Source organism: Homo sapiens, chromosome 3, assembly GCF_000001405.40.
Source record: "Homo sapiens chromosome 3, GRCh38.p14 Primary Assembly".
NCBI classification, from domain to species: Eukaryota; Metazoa; Chordata; class Mammalia; order Primates; family Hominidae; genus Homo; species Homo sapiens.
This window is the reverse complement of record NC_000003.12, coordinates 101,431,303-101,458,410: the sequence shown is the minus strand read 5'-3', so window position 1 is coordinate 101,458,410 and position 27,108 is coordinate 101,431,303. Positions and strand designations below refer to the sequence as shown.

Sequence of the window (27,108 nt, the reverse complement as noted above, 5' to 3'; positions counted from 1 at the left end):
TCAGAATTGGACATAAATCAATTATTAGAAAGTTATTTTAAAAAGAGTATTGAATTTTCTTTTTAACATAGTGAATGAAAAAATGACAATAGCAAATTATAATTATTGGAAAGTCACACAAATTTAGAAGACTCATTGGGGTCCTTGAATTTATGTCAAAGTACTTCTATAAACTACTTAGTCTAATTCTCCCTTTTCAGGTAAATTGTGTGTAGGAAATATAAACATATATTGGTGACTCCATAGCAGTTTATGAGCCTTTTGACATTATTACCATACCATGGATAAATTGTCAAGGTGAATAAGGCAGGTCTATTGATGCAATGATGATGCTTTCATCCTTAGAACAAGCACACACTCAGTTTTCAGACTTGGTTTCCCAAAAAGATTTACATAAATAATTATACTTGGTTTGAGAGATGGAATGCTAGAAGTAAAGGAATGGTAATTTTTAATTAATAAAAACCAAGCCACATTTTCGGAAAGGTTTGCACATACAAAGTTGTTTTATCTTATGGGAGACATATCCTGAAGACTTTGCATGCTTCACAACATACATCATTCCCCTTTAGCTGCCGTCTTGCATCTCCGCATGTGTGCGCCTAATCTCAGCTGGTCCACCCAGGACCCTCTTAGCACCAACCCTAGTTCTCTGCATGGCCCCTTATCTGCTCTGATAGGATGAAAGAAACAATCATGAATCAGGAAAAACTTGCCAAACTGCAGGCACAAGTGTGCATTGGTGGGAAAGGAACTGCTCGTAGAAGGAAGAAGGTGGTTCATAGAACAGCCACAGCAGATGATAAAAAACTTCAGTTCTCCTTAAAGAAGTTAGGGGTAAACAATATCTTTGGTATTGAAGAGGTGCATATGTTTACAAACCAAGGAACAGTGATCCACTTTAACAACCCTAAAGTTCAGGCATCTCTGGCAGCAAACACTTTCACCATTACAGGCCATGCCGAGACAAAGCAGCTGACAGAAATGCTACCCAACATCTTAAACCAGCTTGGTGTAGACAGTCTGAACAGTTTAAGCAGACTGGCTGAAGCTTTGCCCAAACAATCCATGGATGGAAAAGCACCACTTGCTACTGGGGAGGATGATGATGATGAAGTTCCTGATCTTGTGGAGAATTTTGATGAGGCTTCCAAGAATGAGGCAAACTGAATTGAGTCAACTTCTGAAGATAAAACTTGAAGAAGTTACTGGGAGCTGCTATTTTATATTATGACTACTTTTTAAGAATTTTTGTTTATGGATCTGATAAAATCTAGATCTCTAATATTTTTAAGCCCAAGCCCTTTGGACACTGCAGCTCTTTTCAGGTTTTGCTTATACACAATTCATTCTTTGCAGCTAATAAAGCCGAAGAAGCCTGAGAATAAACTTTGAAACAAAGGTTAATAAAGTTCTTTGCCTAGTAAAACAAAACAAAACAAAACAAAACAAAACAAAACAAAACAAAAAGCTTATATCATTAAGGCCAGGCGCAGTGGCTCACACCTGTAGTCCCAGCACTTTGGGAGACCAAGGCAGGTGGATCACTTGAGTGCAGGAGTTCAAGTACGGCTTAGGCAACATGGCGAAACACCATCTCTACAAAAAACTAATAAAAGTAAAATTTAAAAAATACTTATATTATTTAAATCTCACTTTTCCATAAGAATGCTTGTAAAGTGGTGGGCACAGGTTCTTTGGGATAACAATCAATAATTTTGTTACATATTATTATTTTAATTTTGTTTTTTAGTTTTCTGGCATTATCTCTAATATTTTTTTCAGTTTATTTTCTGCTAAATTATCAGCCTAGCATAAAAAGATAATTGTTTGGCCTTCCTTATAGAATTTACGACATCTGACTTCTGTTCCAGAGTTAGTGATTTTCAGGCATGGTCACAGCATTAACATTATAACATCTATTTAATATACACTTAATGATATTGTTAGGGGATAAAAAGATTTTAAAATTCAATAGCAGTAGAAATTGAATTAAAAATACAATAATGACCCAAATCACCATCTTCTTAATAAAGAACAATGTGGTTGACGTGATCCTGACAAAGGAAAATGATGTATTTTTTAAACTGATAAAAGTGATGTAGCCAACAGGCAATAGTGTAATTAATTAGTTTTATAGTTTACTCAGCCAATTTTTGAATAATAGAATGTGATTTTTGACAGATTTTTAAAATCTAGAGGGCTTTGTATCATTTCAAAATTTTGTACCAAAGACACATATATATGTCTTTTATATATATAACTAATTATCTGTATTAATACATAATTAGTTCAAATTCACAATGTTAAAATGTTCATAAAATATTTCCGGGGAATGTGTATGAATATTAAAAAGTGGAATTTAAAAAAGTATCTCTGTTGTATGGTAGAAAGGACCTGAGTCATTTCCAAATCCTAGTTGTCTTAAGCTAGGAGCAGGCATCTTGTCTATACTTTAGTTTTTCTCTACTGAAAGTTCTGGAGCTTTTGATTCTTAACCTTTTTCTGAATGTTCTACTTCTAAAAGGTAGGTGAAATGGGATGGTTAGGATATCTAGAATATCTGGAAACTAAGGTGGGATAGAACATGATGAGTTATTTAGATGAAACTGGATTATGACAGTTAAGTTAGCAGGCAGAATTAGGAAGTGACTTGGTTCAAAACAACAGGAATGAGAAATTATGATGTATTTGCTTCACAGCACAAGAATTTTGTAAAATTCTCTTGGGCAGATTATTTTTAGAAGAGAACCAGTTTGGTTTTTCTCTTTTAATGGGATTCTTTATTCCTCGCTTGATCTCATTTTCACTATCAATGAGCTTACATAATTTGTATCTACAGATTTAGTTCTCTTGTAGCGTATTTTTTTTTAAATCAAATTATGCTGTTCTTCCTACTCCACTAATTATTTGGCATATCAGTCATAAGAGTACATGAGCAATATCAGTTTGGAACTGAAAACCCTCTATTTATAATTACGGCAGCTAATATCTATTAAATACTTATTATATGTTAGGCATTAGGCTAAGCCTAAACTGTCTTATTTAATTTTCATAAGTCTGTGAGATGTAAGTAGCATTGGCCTTATCTCATAGTTGAGGAAATTTAGGCCTTCTTACTATAATGGAGAGGAATGTTGTTAATGCATCTCTAGGAAACCTAGTTCAGTATTAACAGACTTAAATTTTTGTTTTAATAACATTGAATTCTCCTGGGCTATCTGAAACATTTTATAAATCGCTGCTGTGCTAAGGGAAATCAAACAACAAAAATACACCTGGGGAGGGGGAAAGTTTCCATATGTTTGTATTACTTTGGAACTGCTGACTCTATCTCCTGTGTTTGATCTTACTTTAAAGATTGTAATACTTTTTAGTGCTTTTTTAAAAATTAAGTTTTATTGTGATATAATTTACATATCATAAAATTCACCCATTTTAATTCAATAATTAAATAATTTTTAGTATATTTACAGAATTGTGAGCCATCACTACAGTCTGGTGATGGTTTTAGAACATCCCATCATGCTCCAAAAGAAACTACTCATTTACAACCACTTTCCATTCTCACCTACAGCTGTAAGCAACCACTAACCTACTTTCTGTCTCTATAAGATTTGATTTTTTGGACATTTCATATAGACAGAATCATACAATATGTTTGATCTTTTTCATCTGGCTTTCACTGAGCATAATGTTTTTGAGGTTTATTAATATTGTAGCATATATCAGTATTTCATTTCTTTTTATACCACATTGTGTTTATTCACCAGTTGGATTTTTATGTTGTTTCCACTTCTTAGCTATTATGAATAATATTGTCATAAACATTCCTATACAAGTGTTTGCAAGTGTTTGTGTAGACATATGTTTTCTTTTTTCTTTTTCTTTTTTTCTTTTGAGATGGAGTCTCACTTTGTTGCCCAGGCTGGAGTGTAGTGGTGGAAAACAGCTCACTGCAGCCTCCATCTCCCAGGCTCAAGCGATCCTCCCGCCTCAGCCCACCAAGTAGTTGGGACTACAGGCACGCACCACCATGCTTGGCCAATTATTCTGTTTTTTGTATATTTGAGGTTTTGTTATGTTGCCCAGGCTGGTCTTGAACTCCTGAGCTCAAGTGATCTACCCACCTTGGCCTCCCAAATTGCTGGGATTACAGGCGTGAGCCACTGTGCCCATTCTTAGACATACATATGTTTTCATTTATCTTGAATAGATAACTAGGATTAGAATTGCTGTGTCATGCATTAATATTGTTTAACTTTCTGAGCAACTGCTGAACTTTTTTTCAAAATGACTGTACGATTTTGCATTCCCACCAGCAATGTATGAAGGATTCATGTTTTTCTACATCCTCACCAGTGCTTATCTCCTTCCGTTCTTCTTTCCTCTCTCTTTCTTTTCTTTCCTTCCATCTTTCCATCCTAGTGAGTGTGAAGTGGTATCTCATTGTGGTTTTGTTTGCCATTTCCTAATAACTAAATGATGTTGATTATCTTTTCATGTGCTAATTGGTCATTTGTTTTTTTTTTTTAATTTTTTAAATTATACTTTAAGTTTTAGGGTACATGTGCACAACGTGCAGGTTAGTTACATATGTATACATGTGCCATGTTGGTGTGCTGCACCCATTAACTCATCATTTAACATTAGGTATATCTCCTAATGCTATTCCTCCCCCCTGCCCCCACCCCACAACAGGCCCCGGTGTGTGATGTTCCCCTTCCTGTGTCCATGTGTTCTCATTGTTCAATTCCCACCTATGAGTGAGAACATGCGGTGTTTAGTTTTTTGTCCTTGCGATAGTTTACTGAGAATGATGGTTTCCAGCTTCATCCATGTCCCTACAAAGGACATGAACTCATCATTTTTTATGGCTGCATAGTATTCCATGGTGTATATGTGCCACATTTTCTTCATCCAGTCTACCATTGTTGGACATTTGGGTTGGTTCCAAGTCTTTGCTATTGTGAATAGTGCTGCAATAAACATAGGTGTGCACGTGTCTTTATTGCAGCATGATTTATAATCCTTTGGGTATATACCCAGTAGTGGGATGGCTGGGTCAAATGGTATTTCTTGTTCTAGATCCCTGAGGAATCGCCACACTGACTTCCACAATGGTTGAACTAGTTTACAGTCCCACCAACAGTGTAAAAGTATTCCAGTTTCTCCACATTCTCTCCAGCACCTGTTGTTTCCTGACTTTTTAATGATTGCCATTCTAACTGGTGTGAGATGGTATCTCATTGTGGTTTTGATTTGCATTTCTCTGATGGCCATTGATGATGAGCATTTTTTCATGTGTCTTTTGGCTGCATAAATGTCTTCTTTTGAGAAGTGTCTGTTCATATCCTTCACCCACTTTTTGATGGGGTTGTTTGTTTTTTTCTTATAAATTTGTTTGAGTTTATTGTAGATTCTGGATATTAGCCCTCTGTCAGATGAGTAGGTTGCAAAAATTTTCTCCCATTCTGTAGGTTGCCTGTTCACTCTGATGGTAGTTTCTTTTGCTGTAAAGAAGCTCTTTAGTTTAAGTAGATCCCATTTGTCAATTTTGGCTTTTGTTGCCATTGCTTTTGGTGTTTTCGACATGAAGTCCTTGCCCATGCCTATGTCCTGAATGATATTGCCTAGGTTTTCTTCTAGGGTTTTTATGGTTTTAGGTCTAACATGTAAGTCTTTAATCCATCTTGAATTAATTTTTGTGTAAGGTGTAAGGAAGGGATCCAGTTTCAGCTTTCTACATATGGCTAGCCAGTTTTCCCAGCACCATTTATTAAATAGGGAATGCTTTCCCCATTTCTTGTTTTTGTTAGGTTTGTCAAAGATGAGATGGTTGTAGTTATGCGGCATTATTTGTGAGGGCTCTGTTCTGTTCCGTTGGTCTATATCTCTGTTTTGGTACCAGTACCATGCTGTTTTGGTTACTGTAGCCTTGTAGTATAGTTTGAAGTCAGGTAGCATGATGCCTCCAGCTTTGTTCTTTTGGCTTAGGATTGTCTTGGCAATGTGGGCTCTTTTTTGGTTCCATATGAACTTTAAAGTAGTTTTTTCCAATTCTGTAAAGAAAGTCATTGGTAGCTTGATGGGGATGCCATTGAATCTATAAATTACCTTGGGCAGTATGGCCATTTTCATGATATTGATTCTTCCTACCCATGAGCATGGAATGTTCTTCCATTTGTTTGTGTCCTCTTTTATTTCATTGAGCAGTGGTTTGTAGTTCTCCTTGAAGAGGTCCTTCACATCCCTTGTAAGTTGGATTCCTAGGTATTTTATTCTCTTTGAAGCAATTGTGAATGGGAGTTCACTCATGATTTGGCTCTCTGTTTGTCTGTTATTGGTGTATAAGAATGCTTGTGATTTTTGCACATTGATTTTTGTATCCTGAGACTTTGCTGAAGTTGCCTATCAGCTTAAGGAGATTTTGGGCTGAGACAATGGGGTTTTCTAGATATACAATCATGTCATCTGCAAACAGGGACAATTTGACTTCCTCATTTCCTAATTGAATACCCTTTATTTCCTTCTCTTGCCTGATTGCCCTGGCCAGAACTTCCAACACAATGTTGAATAGGAGTGGTGAGAGAGGGCATCCCTGTCTTGTGCCAGTTTTCAAAGGGAATGCTTCCAGTTTTTGCCCATTCAGTATGATATTGGCTGTGAGTTTGTCATAGATAGCTCTTATTATTTTGAGATACGTCCCATCAATACCTAATTTATTGAGAGTTTTTGGCATGAAGGTTTTTAATTTTGTCAAAGGCCTTTTCTGCATCTGTTGAGATAATCATATGGTTTTTGTCATTGGTTCTGTTTATATGCTGGATTACGTTTATTGATTTTCGTATGTTGAATCAGCCTTGCATCTCAGGGATGAAGCCCACTTGATCATGGTGGATAAGCTTCTTGATGTGCTGCTGGATTCGGTTTGCCAGTGTTCTATTGAGGATTTTTGCATTGCTGTTCATCAGGGCTATTGGTCTAAAATTCTCTTTTTTTGTTGTCTCTGCCAGGCTTTGGTATCAGGATGATGCTGGCCTCATAAAATGAGTTAGGGAGGATTCCCTCTTTTTCTGTTGATTGGAATAGTTTCAGAAGGAATGGTACCAGCTTCTCTTTGTACCTCTGGTAGAATTCGGCTGTGAATCCATCTGGTCCTGGACTTTTTTGGGTTGGTAAGCTACTAATTATTGCCTCAATTTCAGAACCTGTTATTGGTCTATTCAGAGATTCAACTTCTTCCTGATTTAGTCTTGGGAGGGTGTATGTGTTGAGGAATTTATCCATTTCTTCTAGATTTTCTAGTTTATTCGCGTAGAGGTGTTTATAGTATTCTCTGATGGTAGTTTGTATTTCTGTGGGACCGGTGGTGATATCCCCTTTATGATTTTTTATTGTGTCTATTTGATTTTTCTCTCTTTTCTTCTTTATTAGTCTTGCTAGTGGTCTATCAATTTTGTTGATCTTTTCAAAAAACCAGCTCCTGGATTCATTTATTTTTTTTGAAGGGTTTTTTGGGTCTCTATTTCCTTCAGTTCTGCCCTGATCTTAGTTATTTCTTGCCTTCTGCTAGCTTTTGAATATGTTTGCTCTTGCTTCTCTAGTTCTTTTAATTGTGATGTCAGGGTGTCAATATTAGATCTTTCCTGCTTTCTCTTGTGAGCATTTAGTGCTATAAATTTCCCTCTACACACTGCTTTGAATGTGTCCCAGAGATTCTGGTGTGTTGTGTCTTTGTCCTCGTTGGTTTCAAAGAACATCTTTATTTCTGCCTTCATTTTGTTATGTACCCAGTAGTCATTCAGGACTAGGTTGTTCAGTTTCCATGTAGTTGAGTGGTTTTGAGTGAGTTTCTTAATCGTGAGTTCTTGTTTAATTGCACTGTGGTCTGAGAGACAGTTTGTTATAATTTCTGTTCTTTTACATTTGCTGAGGAGTGCTTTACTTCCAACTATGTGATCAATTTTGGAATAAGTGCGGTGTGGTGCTGAGAAGAATGTATATTCTGTTGATTGGGGGTGGAGAGTTCTGTAGATGTCTATTAGGTCTGCTTGGTGCAGAGCTGAGTTCAATTCCTGGATATCCTTGTTAACTTTCTGTCTTGTTGATCTGTCTAATGTTGACAGTGGGGTGTTAAAGTCTCCCATTATTATTGTGTGGGAGTCTTAACTCTCTTTCTAGGTCTCTAAGGACTTGCTTTATGAATCTGGGTCCTCCTGTGTTGGGTGCATATATATTTAGGATAGTTAGCTCTTCTTGTTGAATTGATCCCTTTACCATTATGCAATGGCCTTCTTTGTCTCTTTTGATCTTTGTTGGTTTAAAGTCTGTTTTATCCGAGACTAGGATTGCAACCCCTGCCTTTTTTGTTTTCCATTTGCTTGGTAGATCTTCCTCCATCCCTTTATTTTGAGCCTATGTGTGTCTCTGCACGTGAAATGGGTTTCCTGAATATAGCACACTGATGGGTCTTGACTCTTTATCCAATTTGCCAGTGTATTTTAATTGGAGCATTTAGCCCATTTACATTTAAGGTTAATATTGTTATGTGTGAATTTGATCCTGTCATTATGATGTTAGCTGGTTATTTTGCTCATTAGTTGCAGTTTCTTCCTAGCCTCGATGGTCTTTATAATTTGGCATGTTTTTGCAGTGGCTGGTACCAGTTGTTCCTTTCCATGTTTAGTGCTTCCATCAGGAGCTGTTGTAGGGCAGGCCTGGTGGTGACAAAATCTCTCAGCATTTGCTTGTCTGTAAAGGATTTTATTTCTCCTTCACTTATGAAGCTTAGTTTGGCTGGATATGAAATTCTGGGTTGTAAATTCTTTTCTTTGAGAATGTTGAATATTGGCCCCCACTCTCTTCTGGCCTGTAGAGTTTCTGCCAAGAGATCAGCTGTTAGTCTGATGGGCTTCCCTTTGTGGGTAACCCGACCTTCCTCTCTGGCTGCCCTTAACATTTTTTCTTTCATTTCAACTTTGGTGAATCTTACAATTATGTCTTGGAGTTGCTCTTCTCGAGGAGTATCTTTGTGGCGTTCTCTGTATTTCCTGAATTTGAATGTTGGCCTGCCTTGCTAGATTGGGGAAGTTCTCCTGGATAATATCCTGCAGAGTGTTTTCCAACTTGGTTCCATTCTCTCCGTCACTTTCAGGTACACCAATCAGACGTAGATTTGGTCTTTTCACATAGTCCCATATTTCTTGGAGGCTTTATTCGTTTCTTCTTATTCTTTTTTCTCTAAACTTCTCTCTTCATTTCATTCATTTCATGTTCCATCACTGATACCCTTTCTTCCAGTTGATCGAATCTGGTACTGAGGCTTGTGCATTTGCCGCGTACTTCTCGTGCCTTGGTTTTCAGCTCCATCACGTCTTTTAAGGACTTCTCTGCATTGGTTATTCTAGTTAGCCATTCGTCTAATTTTTTTTCAAGGTTTTTAACTTCTTTTCCATGGGTTCGAACTTCCTCCTTTAGCTCGGAGTAGTTTGATCTTCTGAAGCCTTCTTCTCTCAACTCGTCAAAGTCATTCTCTGTCCAGCTTTGTTCCGTTGCTGGTGAGAAGCTGCGTTCCTTTGGAGGAGGAGAGGTGCTCTGATTTTTAGAGTTTCCAGTTTTTCTGCTCTGTTTTTTCCCCATCTTTGTGGTTTTTTCTACCTTTGGTCTTTGATGATGGTGACGTACAGATGGGGTTTTGGTGTGGATGTCCTTTCTGTTTGTTAGTTTTCCTTCTAACAGTCAGGACCCTCAGCTGCAGGTCTGCTGAGTAGCCTAACTGGGAGGCACCCCACAATAGGGGCAGACTGACACCTCACACAGCCGCTTACTCTCTGAGACAAAACTTCCAGAGGAATGATCAGGCAGCAACATCTGCTGTTCACCAGTATCCGCTGTTCTGCAGCCTCTGCTGCTGATACTCAGGGAAACAGGGTCTGGAGCTAATTCGTCGTTTGTATGTCATTTTGAGAATTGTCTACTCAGATCCTTTGCCCATTTTAAAATTGGATTATCTTTTTGTTGTAAGAGTTAAAAAATATTTTCTTGGTACAAGTCCCTTATCAGGTATATGATTTTCATATATTTTATCTCATTCTTTTGGCAAGTTTCTCACTCTCTTGATGGTGTCCTTTGAAACATAAAAGTTTTTAAATTTTGATGAAGTCCCATTTATCTGTTTTTCTTTAGTCTCTGTGCTTTTGGTGTCATATCTAAGAAACCACTGCCTAATCCAAGGTCATGATCCATTACTACTGTGTTTTCTTCTAAGAGTTTTATAGTTTTAGCTCTTAGATTTAGGTCTTTGTTCCATTTTAAGTTAATTTTTGGGTATGGAATGAAATAGGTACCCTAATTAATATTTTTGCCTTTGGATATTCATTTGTGCCAGCACCATTTGTTGAAAAGACAAATGGTGCGTCTTCATTATTTTCCATTGTATTGTCTTGGAATCTTTGTGAGATATCAATTGATAGTAAATGTTAGGGTTTATTTCTGCATTCTCAATTCTATTCTGTTGATCTGTATGTCTGTCCATATGCTGGTACTGCTATGTGCTATTGCAACTTTGTAGTAAGTTTTGAAATTGGGAAGTGTGGGTCTTACAACTTTGCTATTTTTTTTTCAAGATTTTTTGGAGCTGTTCTGGGTTTCTTGCATTTTCAGTTGAATTTTAGAATCAGCTTATCATTTTAACCAAAAAACCAGCAAGGATTTTGACAGAGATTGTATTGAATCTGTAGACTAAATTGGGGAATATTGCCATTTTAACAATACTGTGTTCAGATTAATAAACATGGGATGTCTTTCCATTTATGTCCTTTACAATTTTTTTCAATAGTGTTTTGTGGTTTTCAGTGTGTCTTTGACTTTTTTTTGTTAAGTTTATTCCTAAATACTTTCTTATTTCTGAAGCTATTATGAATGGAATTGTTTTCTATTTTTAGATTTGTATTTATTTATTTTTTTTGAGACAGGATCTTGTTCTGTTGCGTGGACTGGAGTACAGTGCCATGGTCATAACTCACTGTGGTCTTGACCTCCTGGGCTTAAGTGATCCTCATTCCTCAGCCTCCAAGTCTCTGGGACCACCGGTGCATGCCACCACGCTTGGCCAATTTTTTGAATTTGTAGAGACGGGGTCTCATTGTGTTGCCCAGGTTGGTCTTGAACACCTGGTCTCAAGCAATCCTCCTTCCTTGGCTTCCCAGAGTGTTAGTATTATAGGTGTGAGCCATTGGGCCTGGAATTGTTCTCTTCATTCATTTACTCTTGGATTTCCAACTTTTTAGCATATAGTTGTTGATATTAATAGTAGTGTCTAATGATCCTTTGTATTTGTATGGTATCAATTTTTATGTCTCACTTTTTGTTTTCGATCTTACTTGGGTCTTTTTTTCTTGGTTGGTCTAGCTAGTGGTATATCAGTTTTATTTTTGCACAATGTCAACTTTATGTTTGATTTTTTTTAAGTCTTCATTTTGTTTATTTCTACTCTGATCTTTACCATTTCTTTCCTCCTACTAATTCTCGTTATGTTTGTTCTTGCTTTTCTAGTCCATTGAGGTTCATTGTAACCACTTTTTATTTGAAATAACCACTTTTTATATAAGCATTTATTGCTGTGCATTTCTCTCTCAACACTGCTTTTGATTGTCCATAGTTTTGGTATGTTGTGTTTCTGTTTTCATTTGTTTCAGGAAGTAAAAAAAATTTTTTTCTTTTAATTTCTTCAGACCTAGTGGCTGTTCAGGAGCATGTTGTTTAATTTCCAGGGGTTTGTACAGTTTCCGGTGTTCCACTTGTTACTTGATTTATGGTTGTATTCCAATGTGGTCTCAGGAGATACTTTATATGATTTCAGTTTTTAAAAAATTATTGAGATTTGTTTTGTGTCCTTTCATAGGATCTGCCCTGGAGAATGTTTCTTGCACTGGTGAAAAAAATGTGTATTCTGCAGCTATTGGATGAAATGTTTTGTAAATGTCTGTTAGGTCTATTAGGTCTATAGTGCAGATTAAACCTGATGTTTTCTGTCTGGATGATCTGTTTAGTGTTCAAAGAGAGTGTATTAGTCCATTCTCACATTGCTATAAAGAACTACCTGAGACTGGGTAATTTATAAAGAAAGGAGGTTTAATTGGCTTATGGTTCTGCAGGCTGTCCAGGCTTCTGTTTCTGGGGAAGCCTCAGGAAACTTACAATCATGGCAGAAGGTGAGGAGGAAGCTAGTGCATTGTACATGGCTGGAGCAGGAGAAAGAGAGAACGAAGGGAGAGGCACTACACTTTTATAAATAACCAGATTTCGTTAGAACTCACTCACTATTAGGAGAACATCAAGGGAGACATTCTCCCCCACGAACCAATCACCTCCCATAAGGCCCCTCTTCCAACATTGGGGATTACAATATGACATGAGATTTGGGTGGGGACACAGACCCAAACCATATAAGAGGATGTTGAAGTTCCAAACTATTATTGTATTGAGGTCTGTTTTCTTTTTAACTCTAATAATATGTACTTTATATTTCTGTGTGCTTTGATGTTGGCTGTATGTATTCAGAATCTTTATTTTCTTGCTGAATTTATGCTTGTATCAGTATGTGATGACCTTTTTGTTTCTTTGTAAGTTTTTTGACTGAATGTCTATTTTGTCTGACATAAGTGTGTATAGCTACTAATGCATATGTTTTGTTTTCATTTGTGTGATATATATATTTTTTATCCCTTCACTTTCAGTTTATGTGTGTCTTTATCTAGGAAGAGTATAGTTTGGTCTTGTTTTTTTAAATCCACTTAGCCTGTTAACATTTTTAAATTGGAGAATTTAAACCATTTACATGTAAGGTTGTTATTGGTAGTGTAAAGACATTTGTCATTTTGTTAGCTCTCTGATTGTTTTGTATATCCTTTGTTCCTTTCTTTCTCTTTATTGTTTACTCTTATGTCTTGGTGGCTTTCTATAGTGATAATGACTGATTCCTCTCTCTCATTTGTGTCTGCTCTTCCAGTTAGTTTTATACTTTTGTGTGTTTTCATGATGGTAGATACTTTTTGCTTCTAGATGTATGACTCCCTTAAGCATTTTTCACAGCATCAGTCAAGCAGTTATAAATTGCCTGTTTTTGTTTGTCTGAGAAAGACTTTATTTATTCTTCATTTCTGAAGTATAGTTTTGCTGAATATGTCATTCTTGGCTGGTAGCTCTTTATTTCAGCGCTTTGAAGATATCATCCCATTCTCTCCTGGCCTAGAAAGTTTTTGTTGAGAAATTTAGTTAGTCTGATGGAGATTCCCTTATATGTGACTTGATGCTCTTCTCTTGCTATTTTTAGATTTCTGTCTCTGCCTTTGATTTTTGACAGTTTGAGCATAATGTCTGGGAGAAGTTTAGTGTCTTGGATTGAATCTATTTGGTAAAATTTGAGTTTACTGTATCTTAATGTGTATGTCTCTCATAAGAGTTGGGAAATTTTAGCTATTATTATTTTTATTTATTTATTCATTTATTATTATTATTATACTTTAAGTTTTAGGGTACATGTGCACAATGTGCAGGTTAGTTACATATGTATACGTGTGCCATGCTGGTGCGCTGCACCCACTAACTCGTCATCTAGCATTAGGTATATCTCCCAATGCTATCTTTCCCCCCTCCCCCCACCCCACAACAGTCCCCAGAGTGTGATGTTCCCCTTCCTGTGTCCATGTGTTCTCATTGTTCAATTCCCACCTATGAGTGAGAGTATACGGTGTTTGGTTTTTTGTTCTTGCGATAGTTTACTGAGAATGATGATTTCCAATTTCATCCATGTCCCTACAAAGGACATGAACGCATCATTTTTTATGGCTGCATAGTATTCCATGGTGTATATGTGCCACATTTTCTTCATCCAGTCTATCATTGTTGGACATTTGGGTTGGTTCCAAGTCTTTGCTATTGTGAATAATGCCGCAATAAACATACGTGTGCATGTGTCTTTATATCAGCTTGATTTATAGTCCTTTGGGTATATACCCAGTAATGGGATGGCTGGGTCAAATGGTATTTCTAGTTCTAGATCCCTGAGAAATCGCCACACTGACTTCCACAGTGGTTGAACTAGTTTACAATCCCACCAGCAGTGTCAAAGTGTTCCTATTTCTCCACATCCTCTCCAGCACCTGTTGTTTCCTGACTTTTTAATGATCGCCATTCTAACTGGTGTGAGATGGTATCTCACTGTGGTTTTGATTTGCATTTCTCTGATGGCCAGTGATGATGAGCATTTTTTCATGTGTTTTTTGGCTGCATAAATGTCTTCTTTTGAGAAGTCTCTGTTCATGTCCTTCACCCACTTTTTGATGGGGTTGTTTGTTTTTTTCTTGTAAATTTGTTTGAGTTCATTGTAGATTCTGGATATTAGCCCTTTGTCAGATGAGTAGGTTGCAAAAATTTTCTCCCATTTTGTAGGTTGCCTGTTCACTCTGATGGTAGTTTCTTTTGCTGTGCAGAAGCTTTTTAGTCAAATTGCTCCTGTTTGCAGACGACATGATTGTATATCTAGAAAACCCCATCGTCTCAGCCCAAAATCTCCTTAAGCTGATAAGCAACTTCAGCAAAGTCTCAGGATACAAAGTCAATGTACAAAAATCACAATGTACAAAAATCAACAGACAAACAGAGAGCCAAATCATGAGTGAACTCGCATTCACAATTGCTTCAAAGAGAATAAAATACCTAGGAATCCAACTTACAAGTGATGTGAAGGACCTCTTCAAGGAGAACTACAAACCACTGCTCAATGAAATAAAAGAGGATACAAACAAATGGAAGAACATTCCATGCTCATGGGTAGGAAGAATCAATATCGTGAAAATGACCATACCGCCCAAGGTAATTTATAGATTCAATGGCATCCCCATCAAGCTACCAATGCCTTTCTTCACAGAATTGGAAAAAACTACTTTAAAGTTCATATGGAACCAAAAAAGAGCCCGCATCGCCAAATCAATCCTAAGCCAAAAGAACAAAGCTGGAGGCATCACACTACCTGACTTCAAACTATACTACAAGGCTACAGTAACCAAAACAGCATGGTACTGGTACCAAAACAGAGATATAGATCAATGGAACAGAACAGAGCCCTCGGAAATAACGCCGCATATCTACAACTATCTGATCTTTGACAAACCTAACAAAAACAAGCAATGGGGAAAGGATTCCCTATTTAATAAATGGTGCTGGGAAAACTGGCTAGCCATATGTAGAAAGCTGAAACTGGATCCCTTCCTTACACCTTATACAAAAATCAATTCAAGATGGATTAAAGACTTAAACGTTTGACCTAAAACCATAAAAACCCTAGAAGAAAACCTCGGCATTACCATTCAGGACATAGGCATGGGCAGGGACTTCGTGTCTAAAACACCAAAAGCAATGGCAACCAAAGCTATTATTTTGTTAAATAGGTTTTCTTTCGCTTTGCCCATCTCTTCTCCTCTGAAACAACTGAAATCTCAATATTTGTTCTTTTTATAATGTAGCATGTGTCCTGTTGGCTTTATTAATTCTTTTTTTTTTGTCTGACTGGTTCATTTCAAAAGAAATGTCTTCAAGTTCAGAATTTTTTTCTTCTGCTTAGTCTATTGTTGAAGTTCTTAATTGTGTTTTTTATTTCATTAATTGAACTCTTCTATTGCAGGATTTTTGTTTGGTTCTTTTTAATGATACCTATCTCTGTGTTGATTTCTCACTTATATCCTGAATTTCTTTTCTGATTTTTTTTTGTATTGTTTTTCTGTGTTCTCTTGTAACTTTTTGAGTTTCCTTAGATTGGGATCCCCAACCCCTGGAGCCATGGACTGGTACTGGTCCGTGGCCTGTTAGGAACCAGGCCGCAGAGCCAGGGGGTGGGTGGCAGGTGAGTGAATATTACTGCCTTAGCTCTGCCTCCTGTCAGATATGTGGGAGCATTAGATTCTCACAGGAGCATGAACCCTATTGTGAACTGTGCATGCAGGCGACCTAGGTTGCATGTTCCTAGTGAGAATCTCATGCCTGATGATATGAGATGGAACAGTTTCGTCCTAAAACAGTCCATACTCCCCTGCCATCCCGTGGTCTGTGGAAAAATTGTCTTCCCTGAAACTGGTGCCTGGTGCCAAGAAGTTGGGGATCGCTGCCTTAGATAATTATTTTGAGTTTGTTTTCAGGCATTTCATACATATATTTTTCTCTGTGTTACGTTACTGGAGAATTATTGTATTTTTTTGGAGGTGTCATGCTTTCTTGCTTTGTCATGTTTCTTATGTTCTTATGTTGATATCCATGCATCTGGTGTGACAGTTGTTTCTTTCAGTTTTATGGATTAACCTCATTTGGTAGAGACTTTTTCCTGTAGATGTATCTGTGATGTTTGTTAGGGTTGTATTCTGAGTGGATGCAGTGGTATAGTCTCCATGTTATTTCTTTGGTCATAATCAGTGATATTGGTGTCTGCAAGGTCCTTATTGTCTTATGCTGCAATTTATTTATTTATTTTTAAAATTTTCAGACTCGTCAGCAGGAAGTGAATCTGTGGTTTCTAACGGAGACTGTGGCAAGGCTTTACTGGGGACAGGTACAATAGTCTTTGGACCCCTGGGTGGCATGTATGAGCACCAGTCATGGTAGGGATGAGCCATTTGTGCCAGTTCTTGGGATTCCTGGTGGTAACATGGGTTAGGGTGGTGGTTAGGGTCCAGGCAGGTCAGTTCTTGGGTCCCTGGTCAGCATGTTTGGTGCCAGCTGTGGCCGAGGTAGGTGACAGGAAACAATGGGTGGGTTCTCAGGCCACTTGGGCATTGGCAATGTACTTGGGCATTGGCAGTGTACTTGGGCATTGGCAATGGTGAGTAGGGTGGGCTAGTGCTTAGGCCCCTTGACAGTGTGTATGGGCTGTGGTGGTGGCAGTGGACAGGGCAGCCCTGTCTTTAGGCACAGTATTGTGCGGGCAGGTCCTGGTGGCAGCAGATTGGGTGGGCCTGTTCTTTCTTCCTGGGACAGTGCCTGCGGATACTGTTTGCAGGGGCAGGGTGCACCTGTCCTTGGGTCCCCAGGTGGTGTGCATGGGTGTTGGCTGTAGCCATCCATAGTGGTGGGTGGTGGCAGCTGTTTTTCAAGTTATTGGTGCTGTTGGGCACTGGCAGCAATGAGTGGGCCTGGCCAGTACTCATGCTTCTGGACAGCATGGGCATGGGCTTGTCCTCAGGCCCTGTACTGTACATGTAAACACTGGTGGCAGCAAATGAAGTGTTACTATTTGGTTCTGGGATGACATGCTTGTGTGCTGTTTGGAGTAGGCAGGTCTCACTTGTCTTTAGGCACCTGGATGGCGGGTGTGGGTGCTGATGGTGGTGGTGAGCTGGGCAGGCCTCCATAGATGTACTTTATCATGTTGGAGAATTTCCTTTCTATTCTTAATTTGGTAGCGGCTTTCAAAATAATGTATGCATGTTTGAATTTCCTGCATTCTCATATGGTAATTTATATTCTTTATTTTACTCATCAAATTTATTGGATAAATTCATTTTCATATATTAAAGTAACTGCATTCCTGGGATAAATCTCCTTGATCTGATTTATAATATTCTTAATACGTTGCTGGATTCAGTTTTCTTGAGGATGTTTATGTTTGTATACGAGAGGGAGATTCATATATGGTTTTTTTTCTTGTGCTGTCTTTTTCTGGTTTTGGTATTAGGCTAATACTGTCATTATAGAATGAGTTGGAAAACTTTCTCTCCTTCATTGTTTTCTGGAAGAGTTTTTGGGGAAATTGATACTCATTCTTTTTTTTTTTTTTTTAATTTATTTTTTTATTGATAATTCTTGGGTGTTTCTCACAGAGGGGGATTTGGCAGGGTCATGGGACAATAGTGGAGGGAAGGTCAGCAGATAAACAAGTGAACAAAGGTCTCTGGTTTTCCTAGGCAGAGGACCCTGCGGCCTTCCGCAGTGTTTGTGTCCCTGATTACTTGAGATTAGGGATTGGTGATGACTCTTAACGAGCATGCTGCCTTCAAGCATCTGTTTAACAAAGCACATCTTGCACCGCCCTTAATCCATTTAACCCTGAGTGGACACAGCACATGTTTCAGAGAGCACAGGGTTGGGGGTAAGGTCACAGATCAACAGGATCCCAAGGCAGAGGAATTTTTCTTAGTGCAGAACAAAATGAAAAGTCTCCCATGTCTACTTCTTTCTACACAGACACGGCAACCATCCGATTTCTCAATCTTTTCCCCACCTTTCCCGCCTTTCTATTCCACAAAGCCGCCATTGTCATCCTGGCCCGTTCTCAATGAGCTGTTGGGCACACCTCCCAGACGGGGTGGTGGCCGGGCAGAGGGGCTCCTCACTTCCCAGTAGGGGCGGCCGGGCAGAGGCGCCCCTCACCTCCCAGACGGGGCGGCTGGCCGGGCGGAGGGCTGACCCCCCCACCTCCCTCCCGGACAGGGCGGCTGGCCGGGCGGGGGGCTGACCCCCCACCTCCCTCCCGGACGGGGCGGCTGGCCGGGCAGAGGGGCTCCTCACTTCCCAGTAGGGGCGGCTGGGCAGAGGCGCCCCTCACCTCCCAGACGGGGCGGCTGGCCGGGCGGAGGGCTGACCCCCCCACCTCCCTCCCGGACGGGGCGGCTGGCCAGGCGGGGGGCTGACCCCCCTACCTCCCTCCCGGACGGGGCGGCTGGCCGGGTGGGGGGGCTGACCCCCCCATCTCCCTCCCGGACGGGGTGGCTGGCCGGGCTGAGGGGCTCCTCACTTCCCAGTAGGGGCGGCCGGGCAGAGGCGCCCCTCACCTCCCGGACGGGGCGGCTGGCCGGGCGGGGGGCTGACCCCCCCACCTCCCTCCCGGACGGCACGGCTGGCCAGGCGGGGGGCTGACCCCCCCACCTCCCTCCCGGATGGCACGGCTGGCCAGGCGGGGGGGCTGACCCCCCACCTCCCTCCCGGATGGGGCGGCTGGCCGGGGGGGGGCTGGCCCCCCCACCTCCCTCCCGGACGGGGTGGCTGCCCGGCGGAGACGCTCCTCACTTCCCAGATGGGGTGGCTGCCGGGCGGAGAGGCTCCTCACTTCTCAGACGGGGTGGTTGCCAGGCAGAGGGTCTCCTCACTTCTCAGACGGGGCGGCCGGGCAGAGACGCTCCTCACCTCCCAGACGGGGTCTCGGCCGGGCAGAGGCACTCCTCACATCCCAGATGGGGCGGCGGGGCAGAGGCGCTCCCCACATCTCAGACGATGGGCGGCCGGGCAGAGACGCTCCTCACTTCCTAGATGTGATGGCGGCTGGGAAGAGGCGCTCCTCACTTCCTAGATGGGATGGCGGCCGGGCGGAGACGCTCCTCACTTTCCAGACTGGGCAGCCAGGCAGAGGGGCTCCTCACATCCCAGACGATGGGCAGCCAGGCAGAGACACTCCTCACTTCCCAGACGGGGTGGCACCGGGCAGAGGCTGCAATCTCGGCACTTTGGGAGGCCAAGGCAGGCGGCTGCTCCTTGCCCTCGGGCCCCGCGGGGCCCGTCCGCTCCTCCAGCCGCTGCCTCCCGGGCGGCGCTCGCCGGCGCGGCGGCAAAGACCGATACTCATTCTTTTTTAAATGTTCAGTTGAATTCATCAGTGAAGCCATCTGGTCACGCCCTTATAGGACAATTCAAGTTTTCTATTTACTCATTCGTTGAAACCGACTTTATTGATGTGTAATTTACATAGAATAACATGTATCTATTTTAAATATAAATTTGTATGCTTTTGGACAAGTGTACTAAATGAATTTTAAGACTCTAAAGTTTTTTTATTGTAGTAAAATACACTTAACATAAATTTTATCATCTTAATCATTTTTAATTGTACAGTTTAATGTTGTTAAATAAATTGATAATGTGCAGCCAACACCATCATCAATCTCCATAATACTTTCCATCTTGTAAAACTGAAACCCATTAAAAAAATAAATTCCCATTTCTCCCTCCACCCCATTCCCCTTATGACCACCAGTTTGCTGTTTGTTTTGATGATTTTAACTTTTTAAAGTACCTCATACAGTATTTGTCTTTTTGTGACTAGCTAATTTCACTTAGCTTAATGTCCTCAAGGTTCATTCATGTTGTAGAATATGCCAGATTTTCTTCCTTTTGAAAGGTGAATAATTTTCCATTGTATTTACATGCCACATTTTGTTTCTATATTTATTCATCTGTGGGCACTTGGTTTACTTTAATATTTTAGCTATCGTTAACATGGGTGTACAAATACCTCAGCTCACTGTTTTTAATTTTTTTGGGTGTATATCCAGAAGTGGAATTGCTTGGTCTTATAGTAATGATATTTTTAATTTCTTGAACAACTGCTGTATTATTTTCTGCAATGGCCGTACCTCATTTTATGTTCCTGCTAGCAGTGAGTAAATTTCCAGTTTCTTCACATCCACATCAACACTTGTTACTTTCTGTTTTTTTTTTTTTAAATTTGTAGTAGCCATCCTAATGGTATGAGGTGGCATTTCATTGTAGTCTTAATTGCATTTTCCTATTTATAAATGATACTAAGCATCTTTTTATGTATTTATTAGAGATTCATATATCTTCTTTGGAGAAACGGCTACACAAGCCCTATGCTTATTTTTAAATTGGCTTTTTTGGTTTTTTATTGTTGAGTTTTAGGATATTTTTTCTTTTTTTGAGACTGGGTCTTGCTGTGTTGCCCAGGCTGGAGTGCAGTGGTGTGATCACATAGCTCACTGTAGCCTCATCCTCCTGGGCTCAAGCCCTCCCACCTCAGCCTCCCAAGTAGCTAGGACTACAGGCACATGCCACCATGCCTAGCTATTTTATTTTTTATTCTTTTTTAGAAATTTAAAATCATTTAAAAATTTTTTTGTGGGTACATATTAGGTGTATATATTTATGGGCTACATGAGATGTTTTGATATATAGGCATGCAATGTGAAATAAGCACGTCATGGAGAATGGGGTATCCATCCCCTCAAGCATTTATCCTTTGAGTTATGAACAATCCAGTTACATTTGTTAAGGTATTTAAAAATATATGATTAAGTAATATTGACTATATTACTCTATTGTACTATCAATAGTAGGTTTTATTCATTCTATTTTTATTATAGCCATTAACTGTCCCCACCTGCCCCCCTCAGCCCACTAGTTCTCTTCCCAGCCTTTGGTAACCATCCTTCTACTCTCTAGGTCCATGAATTCAATTGTTTTGATTTTTAGATCCCACAAATAAGTGAGAACATGTGATGTTTGTCTTTCTGTGCCTGGCTTGTTTCACTTAACGTAATGATCTCTAATCCCATCTGTGTTGTTGCACATGATTGAATCTCATTTTCTTTTATGGCTGAATATACTCCATTGTATATATGTACTACATTTTATTTATCCATTCATCTATTAATGGGCACTTAGATCACTTCCAAATCTACTGATTTCCTTTTTCTGGTGTATACCAGCAGTGGAATGGCTGGATCATACGGTAGTTCAATTTTCAGTTTTTTAAGGAACCTCCAACGTGTTTTCCATAGTGGTTATATTAATTTACATTCCCACCTAAAGTGTGTAAGTGTTCCCTTTTCTCCACATCCTTGCCAGCATTTGTTATTGCCTGTTTTTTGGCTATAAGCCATTTTAACTGGGGTGAGATGATATCTCATTGTAGTTTTGATTTGCATTTCTCTGATGATCAATGATGTTGAACACCTTTTCATATGCCTGTTTGCCATTTGTATGTCTTTTTTTTTGGAAAAATATCTATTCAAATCTTTTGCCTATTTTTTTGCTCACATTATTAGATTGTTTCCTGTAGGGTTGTTTGGACTCTTTGTATATTCTGGTTATTGATCCCTTGTCAGATGGGTAGTTTGCAAATATTTTCTCACATTCTGTGGGTTGTCTCTTCACTTTGTTGATTGTATCCTTTCATGTACAGAAGCTTTTTAACTTGATGTGATCTTATTTGTCCATTTTTGCTTTGGTTGTCTGTGCTTGTGGGGTATTGCTGAAGAAATATTAGCCCAGACCAATGTCCTGGAGATTTTCCCCAGTGTTTTCTTGTAGTAGTTTCATAGTTTGGGGTTTTAGATTTCAGTCTTTAATCCATTTTGATTTGATTTATGTATATGATGAGAGATAGGGGTCTAGTTTATTGTTTTGCCTATCAATATTCAGTTTTCCCAGGATCACTTAATGAAGAGGTGTCTTTCCATCAGTGTATGTTCTTGGCACCTGTGTCAAAAATGAGTTCACTGTAGGTGTATGGGTTTGTTTCTGGGTTCTCTATTTTGTTCCATTGATCTATGTGTTTGTTTTTATGCCATTTCCATGCTGTTTTGGTTAGTATAGCTCTGTAGTATAATATGAAGTCAGGTAATGTGATTCTTCCAGTTTTGTTCTTTTTGCTCAAGATAGCTTTGCCTATTCTGGGTCTTTTGTGGTTCCATATAAATTTTAGGATTAGTTTTTCTATTTCTGTGAAGAATGTCACTGGTGTTTTGATGGGGATTGCATTGAATCTGTAGATTGCTTTGGGTGGTATGGAGATTTTAACAATATTGATTCTTTCAATCTATGAACATGGAGTAATTTTCTATTTTTTAGTGTTCTCATATTTCTTAATAATTGTTTTATAGTTTTTATTGTAGAGATCTTTCCCTTCTTTGGTTAATTCCTAGGTAATTTTATATGTGGCTATTATTGTAAATGAGATTACTTTTTAATTTTTTTTCGTGTTTTTTGCTGTTGGCATACAGAAATGCTGCTGACTTTTGTATGTTGATTTTGTGTCCTGCAACTTTACTGAATTTGTTTATCAGTTCTAATAGTTTTTTCATGGAGTCTGTAGGTTTTTCCAAACATTGGATCATGTCATCAGCAAACGAGTAATTTGACTTCTTCCTTTGCAATTTGGATGCCCTTTATATCTTTCTGTTATCTGATTGCTCTAGCTAGGACTTCCAATACTATGTTAAATAACAGTGGTGACAGTAGACATCCTTGTTGTGTTCTAGATCTTAAGGGAAAGGCTTTCAGTGTTTCCCTATTTAGTATGATACTAGCTAGGATACTAACTATGATAGCTAGTGGGTCTGTCATATATGGCTTTTATTATGTGAGGCATGTTCCTTTTATTCTCAGTTTTTTTTTTATTATGAAGAACTGTTGAATTTTATCAAATGGTTTTTCAGCATGAACAGAAATGACCATATGATTTTTATCCTTCATTCTGTTGATATGATGAATCATGTTGATTGATTTTTGTAAGTTGAACCATCTTTGCATCATAGGGATAAATCCCACATGGTTATGATGAATGAGCTGTCTAATGTATTGTTGAATTTGGTTTGCTAGTATTTTGTTGAGGATTTTTGCATCAGTGTTCATCAGAGATGCTGGCCTGTAGTTTTCTTTTTTTGATGTTTCTTTGTTTGGTTTTGGTGTTAGGGTAATACTGGACTTGTAGAATGAGTTTGGAAGTATTCCCTCCTCCTCTCTTTTTCAGAATAGTTTGAGTAGGATTGGCATTTGTTCTTATTTAAATGTTTGGTAGAATTTAGCAGTGAACCCATTGGGTCCCGGGCTTTCCTTTACTGGGAGACTTTTAATTACAGCTTTGATCTCATTGCTTGCTATTGGTCTGTTCAGATTTTGGATTTCTTCGTGGTTCAATCTTGTTAGATTGTATGTATTCAGAAATTTGTCCATTTCTTCTAGATTTTCCAATTTATTGGCATATAATTGCTCATTGTAGCCACTAATGATCCTCTGAATTTCTGTAGTATCAGTTGTAATGCCTCCTTTTTAATTTCTGATTTTGTTTGTATTTTCTCTTTTTGTTTTTCTTTAGGTTGGCTAAAGGTTGGTCAATTTTGTTTTAACTTTTGAAAAAACCAACTTTTTGTTTCATTAATCTTTTGTATTTTTAAAATTTCAATTTCATTTGTTTTTTTCTCTCTTTATTTTTTCTCTTCTAATTTTGGGTTTGGTTTGCTCTTGCTATTTTAGTTTTTTAAGATGCATCATTAGATAGTTTATTTGAAGTTTTTTTCTTTTTTTTGATGTATGCATTTAAAACTATAAACTTTCCTCTGAATATTACTTTTTCTGTATCCTATAGGTTTTGCTGTATTGTGTTTCCAATATCATTTGTTTCAAGAAATTTTTCAGTTTTCTTTCTTAATGTCTTCATTGGCCCATTGGCCATTCAGGAACATATTGTTTTATTTCCATATATTTGTATAGTATCTAAAATTCCTCTTGTTATTGATTTCTAATTTTCCTTTGTGGTCAGAGAAGATGCTTCATATTATTTCAGTTTTTTGGAAAGTTTTAAGACTCGTTTATTGACCTAACATATGGTCTGTCCTTAAGAATGGTCTATGTGCTGAGGAAAAGAATGTATTCTGCAGCTGTTGGATGAAATGGCCTATAAATGTGTATTAGATCCATTTGGTCTATAGTGTGGATTAAGTCTGATGTTTGTTTGTTTGTTTGTTTGTTTGTTGATTTTCTGTCTGGAAGATCTGTCCAGTGCTGAAAGTGGGGTGCTGAAGTCTCCAGCTATTATTTTATTGAGGTCTATCTCTCACTTTAGCTCTAATATTATTTCCTTGGTATATCTGGGTGCTCCAGGGTTGGGTGACTATATATTTTAAATTGTTATATCCTCTTGCTGAATTGACCTCTTTATCATTATATAGTGACCCATTTGTCTCTTCTTATCATTTTAGTCTTGAGATCTGTTTTGTCTCATAGAAGTATAGTGACTCCTGTTCTTTTTTGGTTTTCATTGGAATGGAGTACATTTTTCTATCCCTTTATTTTTAGTTTATGTGTGTCTTTATAGGTGAAGTGTGTTTCTTTTAGGCAACAGATCAATGGGTTTTTCATCCATTCAGCCAGTCTGTGTTTTTAAGTTGGAGAATTTAGTCCATTTATATTCAATGTTATTATTGATAAGTAAGAACTTATTTCCTGCCATTTTGTTAATTGTTTTCTGATTGTTTTGTGGTCTTCTCTTTCTTGTTTTTTTTTTTCCTTTTTTTTTTCCTTCCTGTCTTCCTCTAGTGAAGGTGATTTTTAATATGATTTGGTTTAATGCTTTTTATTTTTTGTGTATCCATTGTATGTTTTTTGGTTTGAGGTTACCATGAGGCTTGAAAATACTATCTTATTACCCTTTATGTTAACCCGATAACAACACTATTTGCATAAACAACAAGCAAAATAAAAATTAATAAAAACTCTATGCCTTAACTTTGTCTCCCTGCTTTTTAACTTTTTTGTTGCTTCTATTTATATCTTTATTGTATTGACTGTCTTGAAAAGTTATTGTAGTTATTATTTTTGGTTGGTTTATCCTGTAGTCTTTCTACGTAGGATAAGAGTAGTTTACACACCACAGTTACAGTGTTATGATATTCTTTCTTTTTCTATGTACTTATTACCAGTGAGTTTTGTAGCTTCCAGTGATTATTTTCCTTGGTGATGTTGATGCTAGTAGATGTTCTTCATTGTCTGGGCATTGAAGAGTTAGGTTTTTATTGTAGTCTTCTCTATCTGTGCTTACTTGTAGCCATCCTTTTTGGGAAGGCTTTTCAGATATTTGAAAGGAGCTGGGTGTTATGCTCTAAGCTTTAGGGTGCACCCCAACTCAGTAATGCTGTGATTCTTACAGACTCATAGAGATACTGTCTTGATAGTCTTGTACAAGAACTGGGAGAATTCTCTGGATTACCAGGCAGAGACTCTTGTTCTTTTCCCTTACTTTCTACCAAACATACAGTCTCTATTCCAAGCCACCTAAAGATGGGGGTGGAGTGACTCAAGCACCCCTGTGGCCACCAGCATTGTGACTGTGCTGGGTCAGACCTGAAGCCAGCACAGCCTGGGTCTCTCCCAAGACCTGCTGTCACTACTCCCTGGCTACTGCCTATGTTTGCTTAAGGGTCCAGGGCTCTATGATCAGCAAGTGGCAAAGCCAGCCAGGCCTGTGTTCTTCCCTTCAGGATGGCAAGATCTCCCAAGCCCTTGGTCAGTCCAGAAGTGCTGTCCGGGAGTCAGGGACTGGAGTCAAAAACCTTAGAAGTCTACCTAGTGTTCTATTGTATTATGGTTGAGCTGGCACTCAAATGACAAGATGCAGTCCTCCCCACTCTTCCCTCACTTTCCCAAAAGCAGAAGAGCCTCACCCCATAGCCATTGCTATCCCAGGCCACAAGGAGTATGGCCAGACTACCTACAATTTCCCTTAAGGCCCGAAATCTCTTAAGATGGCTTGTTGTGAATGCTGCCTGGCCTGGGACTCAACCTTTAGGGCAGTGAGCTCCCCTCTGCTCCAGGTCAGGTCCAAAAGTGCCATCATAGGGTCACGTCCTGGAATTAGGGACCCCAAGAGCCTCTTTGGTGCTCTACTCCGCTGTGGCCATGCTGGTACCAAAGGTGCAAGACAAAATCCCCTTTTAATTTCAAAGAATAAGATAACTCCTTTTCTTTCAAAAACTGCTTCTTTAGTATTTGGCCAGTTGTCAAGTAACAAATGCATGTGCTGGAAAGGTAGAGTCTAAGGCAGACCTCAGGGATGGATGATTTTTTTTGAGACGAAGTCTGGCTCTGTCCGCCAGGCTGGAGTGCAATGGCGCAATCTTGGTGCACTGCAACCTCTGCCTCCCGGGTTCAAGCGATTCTCCTTCCTCAGCCTCCCGAGTAGCTAGGACTACAGACCCACGCCACCACACCCAGCTAATTTTTGTATTTTTAGTCGAGACAGGGTTTCACCATGTTGGCCAGGATGGTCTCGATCTCTTGACCTCAAGTGATGTAGGAAGATCTACCAGGCAAATGGAAAGCAAAAAAAAAAAAAAAAAAAAAAGCAGGGGTTGCAATCATAATCTCTGATAAAACAGACTTTAAACCAACCAAGATCAGAAAAACCAAAGAAGGGCATTACATAATGGTAAAGGGATCAATGCAACAAGAAGAGCTAACTATCCTAAATATATATGCACCTACTACAGGACCACCCAGATTCATAAAGCAAGTTCTTAGAGACCTACAAAGAGACTTAGACTCCCAAAC

At 39.0% G+C, this 27,108-nt stretch overlaps 1 protein-coding gene and 1 pseudogene across 18 annotated transcripts in view; both read left to right on the top strand.

Moving 5' to 3' along the window:
* SENP7 (SUMO specific peptidase 7) overlaps positions 1–27,108 on the top strand; it is a 189,008-nt gene that overhangs the window by 54,802 nt on the left and 107,098 nt on the right. The window lies entirely within an intron of this gene.
* BTF3P16 (basic transcription factor 3 pseudogene 16) lies at positions 565–1,426 on the top strand (annotated as a pseudogene).